Below are 19,071 nucleotides of genomic sequence, written 5' to 3' on the forward strand. Positions count from 1 at the left end.
GTATTCCGTGGTGTATATATACCACATTTTCTTATCCACTCATTGGCTGATGGGCACTTAGGTTGGTTCCATATCTTTTCAATTCTGCATTGTACCTTTTTTGCCCTTTTAGGTGGACAGTGCCCTCCCGCTCGTCACTGTCACTGCTCCTCCCTGCCCAGCTCTCTCATTCCCCCTCCTCCGTGTCCCTTCAGGTTTCTGGGTTTGCGCACCACTTCTGTGGCTCCCAGGGCACAGTGCACCACGGCTGTGCTCAGTCATCTTTGCTGACGAACAGAGGGCAAAGGGCTGAAGAGAATATTAATATCCTATCATGTGGGCCAGGTGTGGTGGCTCACACCTGTAATCCCAGCAATTTGGGAGGACGAGGCGGGTGGATCACGAGGTCAGGAGTTCAAGACAAACCTGCCAACATAGTGAAACCCTGTCTCTACTAAAAATACAGAAATCAGCCGGGTGTGGTGGCACGTGCCTGTAGTCCCAGCTACTTGGGAGGCTGAGGTGGGAGAATCGCTTGAACTCGGGAGGTGGAGGTTGCAGTGAGCCGAGACAACACCATTGCACTTCAGCCTGGGTGACAGAGTGAGATTCCGTCTAAAAAAGAAAAAAAAAATATCCTATCGTGGGCACGTGCTTCTCCTCCCAGACCTCCAAGCCTTGGTGCTCAGTCCCTCTGCAGACCCAAAGGTGAAAGAACCAGGATCCGTCTGCGTCGTGGCATGGCCCATGATCTGCCCAGAGGACTGGCACCCACTGTGTGCCTGTCCCCTGAACTGCCACACCCCACTGTGGAGTTGGATAGCATAAGGGGTGGACGAGTGTCCTGAGGCTGCTATAACAAAAGACTACAATCTGTGTGGCTTAGAACCACAGAAAATTCTTCTCCCACAGTTCTAGAAGCCAGAAGCCTGAAACGGAGGTGTCACCAGGGCTGCTCTGTCTCTCTCAAGGCTCTAGTGGAGGGTCCATTCCAGCTTCTGGTGGCTCCCGGGTTCCTCCACTGTGGCCACAGCCTCCAATCTCTGCCTCTGTGGGCAGACAGCCTCCTCCTCTTCCCGTCCATCCTCCACGTGTCTGCCTCCCTCTGCCTCACTCTTCTAAGGACACCTGGGATTTCTTTTATGACCCACCTGGACAATCTAGGACCAGCGCCTCCTCTCCAGACCTTCAATTTAATTGCATCGTTTGTTCTATAAGGAGTATTTACTCTTCTGCCATAGGGAGCATATAGGTTTCAGGGATTAGGGCATAGACATATCCTTCGGGGGCCACCATTCAGTCAACCAAAGGCAAAGGGAAAGGCCTCAGGACAGTCAGACTTGGGTTCAAATCCCAATTCTGATGATTTCTGGTTGTCTGACCTCAGGCAAATCGCTCTACCGGTTTAAATCCGTCTCAGTGGCATTAAAATGGAATTAAGAAACTAGTTCATGGAGTCGTGATGATTTGATCAGCTCATGTGTGCAGGGCACATAGCCTGGTGCCTGGCACTCTGAGTCAATGTTCAGCACATGCTAGCAGAAAAGCAACAGCCTGCAGACCTCGGCCGAGGCACATTCTCTGAAAAGCTGTGTGTTATGAGCCATGCCTCTCCGTCTCCTATGAAATCAGCCTGGGCTTGTCAACAGCCTTCCCAGGACGTGCATGTTTTCTAGGTGCTGGGGGAGTTCGGAGAGAGCAAGCAGGGAGATAAACACGTGCGTGCGTCTCCTCCCTGGTGTTTGCACGGCGTGTGTTGCTTCTGGAATGTGTGCCTGAGCTTTATTCCTGCTTTTGCTTTTTACAGTGGATTGGACAGGTTTGGATGAGGAACAGAAGCACAGAGAGGACGAGTGGCTTGTCCCATGTCACCCTCATAATAAGTGGGAAAGACACATACTTCGCTCCCTAAGCCCTGTATGATGCTTGTGCTCATTATACAGCATGATGAAATGGCTCCCATCTTTCCTTGTTGTTTTACAAGCAATTTGGGGGAGCGGGAGTCTAAAACTTTGCCCATCTCCTGATTGTAATGGAACCAGTTCCAGAGAGGCACTTGTGTTGTTTGGAGTCCCCTGGGCAAATTAAACCCCATTCCTGCTTATAGAAACCAGCACTCCATTGAAACACAATGACACAGTCTCTCCCCTGAGCGTACCTGAGCAATTCTGGAGGGTGGAGCTGCTGGCAATGACTTCTGGATGCCGGGGAAGTGGTTCCTCATAAGCCTGTTCCTCAACACGCTTTGGGGATGTGATCTACCTGATTCTCCCAGTATGGGAGGCAGAGGAGAGATGCTGGCTAGGGAATGCCAGGAAAGTCCTTACTGGGCATTCTGCACTTCTCCTTATAAGACTGGAAGAGTTTCTGAATGGAGGAAAGGAGACTCCATGTGTCACCCAGGGTTCTTTGGCTGTGTGCAACAGAAATCACTCTAAGTGTAAGGAATGGGAACAGATGAAGGTGCTCAGAGGATGGAAGGAAAGACTGGAAAGTGACATTTGGAAAAAAAAATCGGGTCTCACAGGTCCAAGGAGACTCTTGGTAGCAAGACTGCTTGATGGTCTTGTCTGGGCACCAGCGCTGAAATGAACTCCCTCTGTCTTTCATCTGGGTCCTTTTAATAGGATCCCATCATGTTTTGAGCAGTTCCTCACTTTGCACAGCAAGCTGTTTTAGGCTCATGTTGTTATTTCCCTGCCCAGCCCTGGGAAATGGTCATTTCTGAAGGAGCCCTGGTTCCTTTTAGTGGGGACTGGTATTTAGAAACCAAGCTGGAGTGCTAGGTGTGCTCATTACTGCTAGAATGTTCATGCTTCTTAGCCTCTCAGTGAACAGAACATATGTGCATGTTCGTGTGTTTGTGTGTGTCTACGTAGACCATAATATGAGTTTACACTGATGTATGGAATTCCAGCCTAATACCACAGGGCTGTTTCTCCCCTTTCCACATTCTCCATTGGTATTTCCCTCCTTCTGCCATAGAAGGCAAAAGAAATCCTGGGTGTTGGAACCCAGGCTCTCAACACAATCAAAACATGTATTCATTTGTTTATTCCTATACCACATACAAAATAATTTTAGAATTGCTATATCCCAACCACTGCAACAATAAATCTACGAAACAGAGTTCAGGATTCCTTTGCATTTTTTTTTTTTTTGAGATGGAGTCCCACTCTGTTGCCCAGGCTGGAGTGCAGTGGTGCGATCTCGGCTCACTGCAAGCTCCGCCTCCCAGGTTCACACCATTCTCCTGCCTCAGCCTCCCGAGTAGCTGGGACTACAGGCGCCCACCAGCACGCCCGGCTAATTTTTTGTATTTTTAGTAGAGACGGGGTTTCACCGTGTTAGCCAGGATGGTCTTGATCTCCTGACCTCGTGATCTGCCTGCCTCGGCCTCCCAAAGTTGCAGTTCTTTTTCTGTCATCAAACTGAGGGTTGATAGTCCAAGTACTAGGCTTAGAAGTTGTTCGAGTTAGTAACCTCTAGAACGTCTGTGTGGTTATGTAATTCATTTGAAATACAGATAGGTTTCTTCATTTTTGTTTTTATTCAATTTTAGGCTTTTCTCTATATTGTTGTTGACTTAATTTTATTTGTTGAATGCATAAAACATTGACAAGATTCCAGAAGACTAAGCTATGTAAAACAATAGACCCAGTAAGGTGCCACCCCTCCGCTCTCTCCTCTGCCATGTTCTCACCCACCCTCTGCAAGTAACCAGCTTCCTTAGTCTTTGGTTATTGTACCTATTCTTTCCCCCACCCCCCCCAAATAAGCAAATACATACAAACAATAACAGTGCTTATCTAGGGAGGAGGGTACAACTGATTATTATTTTAAAGGAGAATGAATTAATATAGCAGGTAATTTTTAAAATGAATGGAGGGGAGGAAGTGGCTGTGGGTTAGATGCTCTTTCCTATGGCAGGGAGCAGTCCTCTTTTGGGGCACAGGCTTTGCTGGTCCCCACTGCTGATTCTTACTTCAGCCCACCCTGGTGGGAGTCTAGGGTGCTGCACAGCCAACTGGCAAATCTTCCCATACCCTCAACCCTTGCCTACTGGTGGTCTTCATGGCTCTGACCTGCATTATTCTTCCAGCTCTCACACTCTCTTTGTTCACCTCTCGAAATCTTTTTCTGGTCCCCAGGACAGGTGATGTTAAAAATACCTGTGAGCGTCCTCATTCGAGGACCTCAGTTCCCGGAGGCCCTGGGGCCTTCTGCCGCAGTGACTCACCAGCTGTTCTTAGGGAACATGACTGTCTGGATGCATCTGGCTTGCAGCAGGTTGACAGATTCAAAGTGAAAGGTGCTATAAGTGGGTTCCAGGATACAGACCTTCCTAAAGGCACCCTGGAGAATCTTCCCAAGGTGAAGCTTTAAATGTACAGTGTGTGGTAAGAGGAGTGGCGAGGAAAGTTTGTTGTCTTGCAAGTATGCTCTGACCCTGTATACCCCATGCCCTTGTCTCCCACCCCACCCCCCTCCACCATGAACCAGCTGCACTGAGCTCTTTCTCTGCCTACACCCTCAGGCCTCTGCTCTTGCTGTTTTCTGTAACCTAGAAGAATCTTCCCAGAGACCTCCAGGAGGCTGGGCCATTCTTGTCATTCAATTGCAATGTCACCTCCTGAGAAAGGCCCTTTCTGACTATATAGTTTGGTAGGGGGCCACAGAGTGGCTTAAGTAACAGAAATGTATTGCCCACATTCTGGAGGCTGGAAGTCCAAGTTCAAGGTGCTGGCAGGGTTGGTTTCTTCTGAGGTCTCATTCAACAGAGAGAGGTGCCGTCTTCTCTCTGTGTCTTCGTGTGGTCTCGCCTCTGTGCATGTCTGTGTCCTGATCTCCTCTCCTTATAAGAACAACAGTCTTATTCGATTAGTGGTCCATCCTAGTGACGCTATTTTAATCCAATTACCTCTTTAAAGGCCCAGTCTCCAAATACAGTCACATTCTGGGGTCCTGGGGGTTAGGACTTCAACACATGAATTTTGGAAGGGTACAACTTGGCTCACAATACTGACCATTCTATCGAAAGACCCCCCCTCCCCAAACATTCTGCCTTATCACTCTTTAGCCACATCCTATTCTATCTGCTTCAGAACCACTATCACTTTCTAAAATGACCTCAATTAATTTTATTTGATGATTTATGTATTATTTACCAGCAACTCTAGAGTGGTGCTGCCCAATGAAAATATAATACAAGAGTAAATGTTGCCATAGATATAATTTTACATTTTCTAGTAGGCACATGGAAAAAGTTTAAAAGTGAGATTAATCTTTTTTTTTTTTTAAGTTCTGGGATACGTGTGCAGAACATGCAGGTTTGTTACATAGATATACATGTGCCACGGTGGTTTGCTGCACCTATCAATCCATCACCTAGGTTTTAAGCCCCACATGCATTAGGTATTTGTCCTAATGCTTTCCCTTCTCTTACCCCCCACCCCCTGACAGGCCCCAGTATGTAATGTTCCCCTCTGTGTCCATGTGTTCTCATTGTTTGGCTCTCGCTTATGAGTGAGAACGTGTGGTGTTTGGTTTTCTGTTCCTGTGTTAGTTTGCTGAGAATAATGGCTTCCAGCTTCATCCATGTCCCTGCAAAGACATTAACTCGTTCTTTTGTAGAGCTGCATAGTATTCCATGGTGTATGTGTGTCACATTTTCTTTATCCGGGCTATCATTGATGGACATTTGGGTAGATTCCAAGTCTTTCCTATTGTAAGTCCATTCAGGACATAGGCATCGGCAAGACTTTATGACTAAAACACCAAAAGCAATTGCAACAAAAGCCAAAATTGACAAATGGGATCTAATTAAACTGAAGAACTTCTGCACAGTAAAAGAAACTATTATCAGAGTGAACAGGCAGTCTACAGAATGGGAGAAAATTTTTGCAATCTACCCATCTGACAAAAGTCTAATATCCAGAATCTACAAGAACCTTAAACAAACTTACCAGAAAAAAACCCATTAAAAAGTGGGCAAAGGATATGAACAGACACTTCCAAAAGAAGACATTTATGCGACCAACAAACAGATTAGATTAATCTTAATAATACATTTTATTTAATCCAACATATCAAAAATATTTCAATGTGCAATCAATATAAACTTTATGATTGAGATACTTTACTTCTTTTTGTACTAAGTCTTTGAAATCTAGTATGTTGTAAACTTAATTAAATAGTATCTGAGACAGGTCTCAATCAACTTAGAAGTTTGTTTTGCCAAGGTTAAGGACACACTTGGAAGAAACACAAAATCACAGAAACAGTCTGTGGTCTGTGCCTTTCTCCAAAGACGATTTTGAGGACTTTAATATACAAAGGGGACAAGGAGGCTGGAGGGGAAGGAGGGAGGGTAATGTCACATAACTGAATCCACGTGTTGTAGGAGAAAGGGGGCAAGTAGGGGAATAGTTATATATTCCACTGGCACTCACTGTAAGATAAGGTGAGAGTAGCTACCTGGAGGACTTAGAACAAAGGAGGGAAGCACCGTGGTCAGCTTACATTCTGAAATGACGATTCTGCTGTGGGAGAATAGACTGTTGGGGATGGAGGGAGGGCAAGGTGAAAGCGGGGAGGCAGGTGAGAAATGATAGGAGTTCACTAAGCAAAGAGGGGAGAATGCTTTAGGCTGAGGCATCAGCACGTGTGAGGGTAAAAGAGCTGGAAGGAGCTGGACATATTCACAGAACTGGGAACAGGTGTCTGAGGAGGGGAGGGTAAAGGGAGGTGGCCTATGAGATGCAGTCAGAGGGGTGGGCAGGGGCTACTGCTAAGACCTCGTGGGCCACAGGAGGAGTGAGGCCTCCATGCTGGGAGTTGTGAGGGCCAGTGGAGGTTTAGCCAGCTGATTGGAGGGACTCCAAACTAAACTGCTGGCCCCTCTCTCCCACGTGGCCCATTTTCCCAGACCCTGGGTGCTGTGGATTGGCTCCTATGGGTGCAGATTTCAGGTGGAAGCCCCCTGGCAAGGAGGGGCCGTGAGGGCAGCAGATCCCATCCCCAGTCTGTCAGGCTGATAGAAAGTTTGACTTCGGGCGACTTTCTTGCCTCCTCAATATATGAATAATTCTCAGGTAAGGAATGATTGCAAACTAATTTTATTATTATTATTATTATTTTTACCACAGAGAGCCTACCGCACCTCATTTTGCTTGTTTTCTTATTCTTCCCTTCACAGTGCTGCTGAACTTTTATGTTGTGCTTGAATCATGATTCAGCTCTTAACCATGCTTCTAAAATCCTATTCCCAGCCTAGTACAGGCAGACCCAAACCAACACATTACTTCTAAGTCTAATTTAGCCTGTTGGTGGTGCGGCATTTGTGCTGCTGTCTGAAGCCAGGATGCTTTGCTCTTGTTTGAGGTTGTTTGCATACAGAATTGTTCATGTGTTTGATAGCCCAGAGAATGCACAGAGCTCTAGTGATCCCTGCCAATGCTTTCTGGCAGGACCCATCTCTCTTGGGCTATATGGGGCCCTTGGGGGAGGCAGCAAGGCCAGGCTGAGTGAGGCCTTGCAGGCCCTGGTAAGGAGCTGGACTTTATTTAAGTATGCTGGGAAAGTCACTGGAGGGCTCTGAGCAGAGGAGGGACATGACCTGACCCTGCAATTTGCAGGGTCACTCTGGCTGTACGAAGGTGAGGACAGGAGGACTGGGGAAGAGGAAGGCTCCTGCAAGAGTCCGGGGGAGAAGTTGGGGGCCTGAGCCAGGAGGGCAGTCTGGGGGCTTCCCTTTCATTCCCTTCCCATTGTCTTCTCCTGGAGGTGGAGGAGGACCTGAGCCCATCCTGTTGCAATGTTAGGATCTTCTGGAGGAGCTGGGGGAGCTCGGAGATCCACCTACTAAGGGCTTTCTGGAACATGCATAATAAAGAGGAGGGAGCTGCCTGCTCAGAAGTTGGGGGAGTCTTTTGGAAGAAGGTTCTTTTCTACTATTCTGTGAATTGTGGAGAGCGTTATATTATCTCAATAGGAAAAAGAAAAAAAAGTCTAAGGATTATGCCAGTCCTCTAAAGAGGAGTCTGTTAGGCTAGAGAAGTGGAAGAATGTTCCAGAACTCTTTGAGCTCCCAAGTTTGAGTCCTGCTGCTGCCTGAAGTCACCATGAGAGCCCTTGGGGCCAAGCATTGCTTCATCCTGCTTCCTCTCTCCACCCCCTGCCAGGGTTTTCAGTGCAGACACTGTGGGGCCTGTGGCTGCCTTTTCTACGTTCCTCCAGCCACGATGAGGAAGGTGGCTGCAGCAGACGGGCAGGGGCGAGTTGGGCAGCAGAGGGGAAGATGGCCTGGGAGTCTTTAAAACTGCCCAAAGGTGGGGCATGTCCAAGCATCTCGATGGGGGGAAATAGGCACTTGAAAGCTGGAAACTTTTGTGGTCCGGATTCTGAGAGGGGAAAAAAATCAACAAAACCCAGCCGTCCCCAAACTCCTAACAATGTTCTCTGGTGCAGGAGTGATTCCCAGTAGGCAGGGTCCGAGCCGCCCTCCCTGTGAGCATGGTGTCAGAGCCTCAGGTTGCTTTGGAAATGGATTTGTTTTTTAAACCGAAGCTGAGCTTTATTAGAAGAGAAAACTAGGTCCTGTGTACTGGGGAAGGGAGTTTTACAGGCAGCACCGAGCCGGGCCACCTTCCCTTTGACTTGCTGGGAACGCCAGGGCAGGAAGCAGCAGCTGTCTGGGAGACTGGCAAGAAGTCCGGACTCTGGGGATCCTGACTCCAAACTCCAGCCCCATCGTTCCCGGACCAAACTGAGGGCTGGGCTGCAATTTCTCACCACCCAAAAACGAGATGCAGATGAACTGGGGAGGAAGAGAGTTTTTATTTCTGTAACCGGTTAAAGGGAGAAGGCCTGGAAATGATCCCCAGAACAATTCAAAATGATAAAGTTTGCCAGAGCTTATATACCTTCTAAGCTATATGTCTACGTGTAAGTGTGCGTTCGTCTAAAGACATAAGTGATTAACTTCTTTTAATCTACAATGAAGGCCCGAGTCCCGAAGACCTTCCTCTGGAGCCTCAGTAAATTTACTTAATTTCAATGCGTCCAGGTGCTGGGGTGATTACCCTTATCTTGTCCCCTGCTAGAACATGGAGGTTTGGGGAGTTCCTTCAGAGCCCCAGTCAACTTGTTTGTGAAGGCCTGGGAAGTTTCTTCAGACCCCCATTAAAACTTGTTTAATCCTAAACGGGTCCTGTTAAGAATTCCTTCATTATTTTGCCATGCTTTAAGGCCCAGGAAGAGCCTAGGCAAAACTCTGGGTGGGGCTTTGTTACATTCCAGCCTTTGTATGAGGGCATTGGCTCTCTCAGCTTTTAATATTTCACTTCAGCACTCAGCACTGAAACAGTTGTTACGGAGGCCTGCGTTAGTGAGACCTGGCCTGCCATTCCATGACTGACTTACTGGGCAAGTGAGCTCAGGCAAGTTAGGAAGCCTTGCTGAGAGTAATGATTCTCTCTAGCCAGACAGTTATGAGTGGTAAAGAATCTGCAACGGATTCAGCAACTAAAGCACAGAGAGGGCAAGTCACCTGTCCACAGTCACACAGCAGGAATGCGGCATAGCTGGGAATTGAACCCAGGCAGTCTGACCCCAGAACCCACACACTTAACTGCTATTCTCTAAGGAGGAGCTTGTAAAAGCTTGGCCACCTTAGGTGGCCTGTGTCAGTCATCTGCTGGCTTGCGGATCTGTTTCTAGTCTCCCAATCACTGTGCTGCAATCACTAATGGGCTGTGGGGCCCAGAGGCAGGCATGCCCCTGGATAAACCTCGGTATCTTTATCTCCAAAACCCATCTTCCATAGACATCATTGAGCACCCAGCCAAACAGCGCAGAGGAAGGGACCCCTGGGTGAGACAGTCAGAAACATCAGGACAGGAAGCAGCAGCCGCAGCAGGTCTGTAAATGCCAGTCCTGTGTTCACTTGTCACAAGTCTTGTAACTATGCAGGATTTCCAACAATAATTCCTTCTGGTGGGGATCTCTGAGAAACATCAACCAATCGTACCCCTCTTCTCCACTCAGTTCGAGACCTGTTTTGTCCGATGTAGGAGTCATGTGCCACATGTGGCTATTTAAAAGTACATTTTAACAAATTAAAAGGAAACCAATTTTAAAATGCAGTTCCTCTATCTCAGTAGCCACATTTCAAGTACCCACTGAGCCCATGAGGCTACCAGGTGCCCGAGGCTACCAGCTGCCGTGCTGGGCAGCACAGACACAACGCTTCCTCATCACAGAATGTTTTATTGGGCAGCGCTTGTCTAAACAGATTAAAAATCAAGAATAAGAGTAACAGATGGAAACCAAAATACTGCACCAGCTAATGCATACAGAGTATTTATTTAATATATGGCCAGGCATTACTCTAAGTGTTTTATATGTGTTAATACATTTAGTTCTCATAACAACCCTGACAGGCAGTTACCATTTTTATCTCATTGGATGGATAGAGAAGTTGAGTCACAAAGAGGTTACATGAACTTGCTGAGGCCACGCAGCGGGTACATGGCCAGCCTGAATTTTAACCCTGTGGCTCTGGAAACAGCACGCGAAACCTCCACACTCTACTACCTCTGACTTCTTACAAATAAATGCTCAGTTGGAAGTTGTAGCCCAGATGAGGGTCAATGTGACTTCCTAAAACCATACCCTAGAGTTGGACAGAATTAAACACTTGGTGAAGTTGGTCCTGGTCTGGGGTTGGCCCCCAGCCTCCCTGTCGTGTGCTGGCCCTGGAGTGGCCCCCGTGAGGACGAGGGACGCTGCACACAGGAGTAGGGGACTCGTGGCTTCCTGTGGGCAGGCTGACCCACCGCAGGGTAAAAGCAATGTGTGAGCCAACCACACCCACTTTGGTTTTCTAAAACTTGCAGCCAGATATTCCTCTCCCTGGGGTGGGATGGAAAGCATCGGACAGAGGGCAGGAGTCTCATCCTCTCTGAGTCCCCTTCATCTGGAAGGAAATATCAGAAATGGGGAAGAACGGTTTCTCCCGAAAGCTTTGAAAAGAACAAATGAAAAATATAAAGAAAATGTTTTGTGCCTTTGAAAGTAGACGCCCAATGCATGAATCTTCCTAAACTCTTCAGCTGTCATAGATATGGTTATGAGCAACAGAAACCCAATTAACTTCTCTCAAATGAAAACGAAATTGATTGTAAGGATACAGGGAAATCCTATAGAACCCAGTGCATGGAGGTAGCATTGCCCTCTTGGAAAGTTGTCAGACAGTGTCTGTCTGCAATCTGCGGTCTGAGTAATGGCCTCTTCAGAAAGTCTCCTAGCTCCTCCTCCCCCAAACTTCAGGCTCCATGTGAAAATGACCCTAACTCCCACCTCTAGGTGCTCAGCCCAAAACTCTCTCCCTTGCTCTCATGTTCTGAAGTTCTACCTCCAAAATATTTCTCAAGTTCATTCCATGCTCATCATCTCTCCTCTGCTCTGATAGCTGAAGCCACCATCTCTACCAAGGCAGCCACAGTAGCCTCAGAAGTTTCTCTCCACTTCTATTCTTTTTTCACCATAGTCTCCTCTCCTCAGTGTACCTCAGTTTTGCATTTTAAACTATAAGTCTGATCATGAAATGGCCCTTGTTTAAAACCCTCCAGAATCTTCTCAGAAGCACTTAGAATAAAATCTGAGCTCTTTACCATGACCTGCAAGGCTGTGCCCGACAAGTGGCTACCACCTCCTGCCACCTGCCTCTTGGTCACTGTGCTCCTGCCACACTACCCTTTTTTTTTTTTTTTTTTTGAGACAAAATCTCACCCTGTCACCCAGGCTGGAGTGCAATGGCGTGATCTTGGCTCATTGCAACCTCCGCCTCCCAGGTTCAAGTGATTCTCCTGCCTCAGCCTCCTGAGTAGCTGGGATTACAGGCGCCCGCCACCATGCCCAGCTAATTTTTTGTATTTTTAGTAGAGACGGGGTTTCACCATGTTGGCCAGGCTGGTCTTGAACTCCTGACCTCAGGTGATCTGCCTGCCTTGGCCTCCCAAAGTGTTGGGATTACAGGCATGAGCCACCTCACCCAGCCCCAACTGCTCTTCTATTTGTTGAATGTGCTAAGATTGTTCCCACCTCCAGGCCTTCGCCCTTGTTGTTCCTTCTGCCGAAAACACTCTTCCCTCGTCTCTCCATGTGGCAGGCTTATCCTTCTTTTTTTTTTTTTTTTCAAATATTTACTCAAATACCTTTTCTTCTGAGATGCTGTCTATGATCACCTAAATAAAAGTGACCACCCCACTTGCTATCACAAATAAGGAAATATTACTACTCTGTTTATAGTAGTAAGTAAATTAAGGATAGACAAATGGGAATTATTGCCACTAAAGGGAATGATTCTGTCTATTTTCTATTTATTTATTCTCTCCCACCCCTGGACTGTGGGCTGTAGAGGTAGGGATCATGTCAGCCTTATTCATCATAGTGAAGCAGTCTTCAAAAGACTGCTTGGCGCATAACAAGTACTCAGTAAGTAGCTGTTGAATAAATGAACGTACAGCTTCAAAATCCCAAAATCTACAGTTTTTTTGTTTTTGTTTTTGTTTTTTAATCCCTTAGTCCAGCTCCCATTTGAGAGATTCCTATTGGGTCTCTTGTAGGCATGGTGTACTAGGGTCACCTGGCATGAATGAGGCTTCTGAAGAAGGGTAGAGCCTTTTCCATGCAATGGGGCAGAAATGCCAGAGCTGAACTGAGCTAAGCTGTGTTATTCCCTCAGCCAGGAGCTGAAATCAGCTCGCATCACTCACAGTGTCAAGTCTGTAAAGTCTTCAGCTTGGTCTTGAAGGCCACTCTAATCCAGCCCTCTCCTACCTGTCTCTTCCTTTCTTTCCAATTTAACTGTCTCTGTGGTCCTTACTCCAGTTTGTGCTCATCTTGAACTTGGTTCATCACTTTTTCCATCTGCCACCTTTTCCTTCTCTAGCCTCATAGAATAAGCTTGCAACTCTTCATTCTGTCTAATTTGGGGAGTGAAGCAGAAGACTCTTTACTTTGTCTAATTTCTTGTATGAAACAGGGATTAACTCTTCCTTAAATGTTTGGTTTTGGTAGAACTCACCTACAAAACCATCTGGGTCTAGGGCTTTTGAGGAGGGAGAAGAGAAGTCTTTAAATACCATTTTAAAATTTTCTTGAACATACTTTCCAAGTTATTTTAAAATCCATGTCTGCTAAGTTTATTATCTGGGTCATTTGTGAGTCTCTTTATATATTCTGTTTTTTCCCTTGTTTTTTGGTCAGCTTGGTAACTTTTGATTGAATATGGGACATAGTGTAAGAAAAATTACAGAGTCTCTGGACTGCATTTTCCTCCAGAGGTGATTGACCCTCTCCTTTGGTGGGAAGCTAGTCTAGAATGGTCACTTCAATGCAATCAGAGACTGAACTGAATCCACTGTACCTCCACCTCTAGGGTGTCATCCTCCAGGCACCCACCCTGTGATGCTGTCCAGAACCCATCCTTCTTGGCAGGTCCTGAACTCAACGATTTGCCCCTTCAATACTATAAGGCTGCCCCAAATCATTCCCTGTTTTTCAGGCTATTTCTTAGGACTCCTGCCATGGGCAGCTTAAGGTCTCAGAAATGCCTCAAGGAGAAACTGCATAGTATTGGGCTCGTTTCTCTGCACCTTCCTTTTTGCGGGGATCTTGCCTCAATGCTCTGGCAGCTCAGAACTCCCCTTTTGACTCTTAGCTCTGTGAGACTGCAGGAAGCTCTGCTGGCTTCACTGCCCACAGCAGCTGCCCTCTGCGTGGCTTCTCAGCCTTTCTACCTCCGCAACTGTTCTCAGGAGAAAACAGAACACAGAAAGTTGGACTCACCTCAACAAACCACCCTTCGTTCTGAGGTCAAGCGCTGGCTCCTCAGTCACTTTTTAAAGCCTCCAAAAAGATGTTGCTGTTGTTTTAAATTTCATCTGGCTTTTCTAATTGTTCTTGGTGAGTGCATGGGTCTGCTAGCATCACTTCGTTGTAGCTGGAAGCAGAAGTCCTACCATGTTAATTAAGGAAAAAAATGGTCTCTTCGAGTTATTTCTTCTTATTTCAATTCTAGCACCTTCTGTTCTTCAGGAAAGCTATCTGTGCTCCAGGTTTTCCTTCCTCTTTGCTACCTACACAGTCTGCTGGTCCTCCAGAGCTCCATCTGCCCCGCATTTCCTTTGTGAAGCCTGTATTAGGCCGTTCTTGCATTGCTATAAAGAAGTACCTGAGACTGGGTAATTTATAAGAAAAGAGGTTTAATTGGCTCACAGTTACACAAGCTTTATGGGAAGCATGGTGCTGGCATCTCCTTGGCTTCTAGGGAGCCCTCAGGAAACTCCCGATCATGGCAGAAGGTGAAGGGGAACCAAGCGTGTCACATGAGGAAACAGGGGCAAGAGGTGGGAGGCAAGGTGCTGAGCATTTTTAAATGACCAGATCTCATGAGAACTCACTGTTATGAGGACAGCACCAAGGGATGGTACAAAATCATTCATGAAGAATCCACCCCCATGATCCAATCACCCCCCACCAGGCCTTACCTCCAACAATGGGGATTACAATTCAACTTGCGATTTGGGTGGAGACAAATACGCAAACTCTATCATCCGGGAATGCTGGACAAAAACCAGTATAGATCATAACACTACAAGGCCTTTGCCTGCCTATGAACTATACTCGGCTCACAGTCCTTACCCCAGAACTTAGTGCAGGGTCATGTGCTGTGTTGCTTTGTCTTCTCATTATACAACAATGATAATGATGCTGCTGTTTATAGAGCACTCGTTATGCAATAGAAGCTCTTTTAAGCTCTTTCCACACATTGTCTCTAATCCTCTCAGCAATGTAGGTGCAGTTATTCCCATTTTACAGGTGATAAAGTGAAAACTTAGCTCTATTAAAGGAGAGGCCCATAATCCCTCAGCCAGGGGCAGGATCAGCATTTGCAGCCAGGCCTGTGTGATTTTTTCTCTTAGTATAACAGTGACTGAAATGGATGCAAGGAAGGCCTCACTGGCAAAACTGGTCCGAAGGAATCAGGCCTGTCCAGGAGACAGCCTGTCTTCATTTATTGGTGAGGTCCTTTTCTAATATGCTTATTCTCCTTTGGAAAGGAGACTTGATTTCAACAAGTGTAAATACAATTCCTGTGAGATAATTTCTCATGATAGTTTTAACAGAAAACCCGGGAATCTCCCACCTCCAACATTCTGCTGATCGAGTTAGCAATGATTTCATTTCCAGCTAAGGACGCACTTAGGACTAGTACAGGTTAAACATGGGCACTGGAGTCAGAAAGACTGACAACGAAAAGTGTTAGGTAAGGAGGAAAAAATCTCAAAAATGAAATTCTGAAAATGTGGAACATCATTTTCTTCTGGAATGTGAAAGTTGGAGCGACGCGCGCCACCACATGCTAAGGGGAGGAGTCGGCTGCTGGCTCTGCCTGTCTGCACCCTCCTCCCTCAGAGGGGAAGGTGAGCATGACCTAACGGCCCAAGGTTCTCACCTCCACACTTCACCTTGACAGCATAAGCTTAAAGAGGTCATTTCTGCAAAAATATTCACCACTTCTTGCAAAGGCCTCTCTGAATCCTTTGATATTTAAATGATTCTTTCTTAAGGTGTACATGAGACAGTCTTGGTGAAACATTGACCAGGAAAGCCACTGACAGGTGGCTGGGGGTGGACCCTGAATGAAGTGGGCAGGGGGCCTGAGGAAGACAGAATTTGGGTGATGAGTGTTTTCAGGATAGGGCTACTGTAGCTTCTGTGTCTAGCAAGCTTGTGACTGTGGGGCCTGGGGTGTGAATCCTCCAATAGTAAAGACCCTGGTCCTGTAGAAGTGCCACCAGGAACTGGAGGGAAAGAAAAGGACTTTAGCTGAATCCCATAGGTGGTTGGGGGAAGAAGGCAGGGTGGGGAGAAGCAGAGCCTGGCTGTTATGGACTGAATGTTTGTGTTCCCCAGAAATTTACATGTTGAAGTGTAACTCCTGATGTGAGGGTATTTGGAGGTGGGGCCTCTGAGACGCAATGAGGTCTTGAGGATAGAGCCCTTATGAATGGAATGGGATTAGTGCCCTTAGGAGACACAAGAGAAATGATTTTTCTCTCCACTACGCAAGGACACAATGAGAAGGCAGCTGTTTACAGGCCAGAAAGCAGGTCCTTCACCAGGAACTGAGTTGGCTGGCACCCTGATCTTGGACTTCCCAGCCTCCAGCACTACGAGATACCAATTTCTGCCATCTAAACCACCCAGTCCATGATAATTTGTCATAGCATCCCAAGCAGACGAAGACAATGGCGCATTCTTGGGTCAACAGACTTAGGAAAACAAAGAAAAACAAAACAACACAGGATGCCCTGTTATATTTTAATTTCAAATACTGCATGGGACATACACTAAAAACATGATTCATTATTTATCTCAAATTCAGACTTACCTGGGCTTCCTGGATTTGATCTGGCAACCCTAATTAGGAAAAGGTGAAAAGCGAGCCCTCTGTCTTTACTGAAATCCCCCACCATGTGTCCAACAGAACGCCCTCCTCCCTTCCTCCCTGCCTCTCACTCGTGTCTGCTGTTGGTGTGTGTTAAGTGGGGTGTGGGTACGAATCCATCACACTAGTAGCGTCAAGTGATAACATGCTGTGTTTTCAGCATCAAGCGCGTGTGGGTTGGAATCTTGCCACATAATTCTTCTAATGCCGAAAGGGTATTAATTAATCTCACTTTCCTCATTTGAGTAAAAATGTAAAGAATTCCTAACTTGCAAGTGTTATTGGTAATAATTGAGGGAAAGTGAGGTTTTTTTGGTCTGGGGTTCTTACAATCATTTAGGTAGTTGTTATTAAATCTCCCATCTGTCAAGTGCCTCTGACTGCTACAGACTAAAGTGCTGCTATGGACTAAGTTGTGTCCCCTACAAAATTCACATATTCAATATTAGAGCCCTGATGTCCAGTGTGACTATATTTGGAGACAGGATCTTTAGGAGGCATTTAAGGTTAAATGAGGTCTTAAAGGTGGGGAACTAATCTGATAGAATTGGGGTCCTTAAAAGAGAGGTCGGAGCTCTCACCTGTGCCCCTCACCCCCCCACATGAGCACAGAGAAAGGCCACATGAGGACACAGGGAGGAAGGAGGTGGCTGTCTTCGAGCCAGAACGTGGGCCCTCATCAGGGACTGAATTGGCTGGCCCCTTGAATTTGGCTGGCACCTTGATCTTGGACTTCCCGGCCTCCAGAACTGTGAGAAATAAATTTCAGCTGTTTAAGCCACTCAGTCTGTGGTATTTTGTTGTAACAGCCAAGCAGATTAAGACGTGTGCCTTACTCTGTATTAGACACTTGGCGTTCACTTTCTTTAATCTCTTCTGATCCTAAACCAGGCTATGATACTCCCATTTTGCAGTGGAGGCTTGGTCACATAAATTTCTTACAGGGGTTGCAGCCTTGTGGGAGAGGGGTGACAACTGGTGGTCTGTGAGCCACATCACACAGACTTTTTTTTTTTTGAGACAGAGCCTTGCTCTGTTGCCCAGGCTGGAGTGCTGTGGCGCAATCTCAGCTCACTGAAACTTCTGCCTCGCAGGTTCAAGTGACTCTCATGCCCAGTAGCTGGGACTACAGGCATGAGCCACCATGCCCGGCTAATTTTTGTATTTTTAGTAGAGATGGGGTTTCACCATGTTGGCCAGGCTGGTCTTGAACTCCTGACCTCAAGTGATCCACCCGTCTTGGCCTCCCAAAGTGCTGGGATTACAGGCGTGAGCCACCGTGCCTGGCCACACACTGACATTTTTCACAGATTAAAAAAGAAACTCATGTTTGTAATCCCAGCACTTTGAGAAGCTAAGGCAGAAGGATTGCTCGAACCCAAGGCAGAAGGATTGCTCGAACCCAGGAGTTCAAGACCAGCCTAGGCAACACAAGAAGACCCTGTCTCTACAAAAACTTTTTAAAAAAAAATTAGCTGGGTGTGGTCACACATGCCTGTGGTCCTAGCTACTCAGGAGGCTGAGGCGGGAGGATTGCTTGAGCCCAGGAGGTCGAGGCTGCAGTGAGCCACGACCGAATCACTGCACTTCAGCCTGGGCCACAAAGTGAGACCCTGTCACCTACCACCCCCACCCCCCGCCAAAAAAAAAAAAAGAAAAGAAAAAACACTTAAACTGGTTGCCAACATTGATAAATTTGAAGATTTCATGAAAACTTTTGAGTTTGCAATCCTCTGGACAAGAAATAAAAGCCGCAGTTCCTGTTATTGGTCCCAGAGCCTTGATGAAAATTGTAGGTGACAGACCAGTCATTTCATCCCTGCCCTTCTTGCTGGTGGCACTTCCTTGAGGACGCACTTCTACCTGACAACACCAGCTGCCAGAGCCATTGTTGGGGCACGAGAGCAGAGTGACCAAAGGAGGGGAGTCTGGAGGCTGAAGCCTGCACTGGGGTCCCAGCGCTGCCATTTCTGCTGGGTGACTTGGGCAAGCTCTTTGACCTCACAAGCCTCCCTGTTGAGTGATGATGATAATAATGCAAAGAAAATTAAATAAGTTTGTTGACATACATAAGGTTTAGCACCATGCTTAGCAGCAAGGTTACCATGCAGACTCCCACCTGGCACTGAGGCGATGGACGTTCCTAATAAAACAGCTACCCCGCGTTGCCCGCCTCGTGCGCAAGAGGCCCTGCTCTCCACACTTGCACTCCATCCGTTCCATCTGCACTGCTGGGCAGAAAGGCAGGTGGCGGCAGCCCCATTTCACCAGCTGAAGAACATGAGTAATTTGTCCCAGGACACAGCTAGGAAGAGCAGGACCCAGGGTTCATGCCCAGGCTCCTCTTCCTGCCCTACATGGTCTCCTGTTTGCAAAATGGAGGGGCCTAGGGGTAGAGAAAGGGTGTGGTGTCTCCAGCTCTAAAAGTCTATCTGAGTCCTAAGATGCTGCAGAAAAGCTTTGCCTCCCACCTCCCTCACCCTCATGTCCTGAAGGGCCAGCCTGGGGACAGAAAGCTGCCCGATGGTCACGTATCTGAGGGCTCTCCAACATTTTTCCAGGACAGAAAGGGA

At 47.0% G+C, this 19,071-nt stretch overlaps 1 annotated feature.

Annotated features, from left to right (window-relative positions):
• Positions 7,722-8,308: an enhancer, noted in NCBI's record as "H3K27ac-H3K4me1 hESC enhancer chr20:49853584-49854170 (GRCh37/hg19 assembly coordinates)". NCBI's record gives its function as "activates a minimal SCP1, AML or CMV promoter by ChIP-STARR-seq in primed H9 embryonic stem cells {active_cell/tissue: H9 hESC(primed)}" and the evidence as "EXISTENCE:reporter gene assay evidence [ECO:0000049][PMID:30033119]".

This window comes from Homo sapiens, chromosome 20 (genome assembly GCF_000001405.40).
Source record: "Homo sapiens chromosome 20, GRCh38.p14 Primary Assembly".
Classification (NCBI taxonomy): Eukaryota; Metazoa; Chordata; class Mammalia; order Primates; family Hominidae; genus Homo; species Homo sapiens.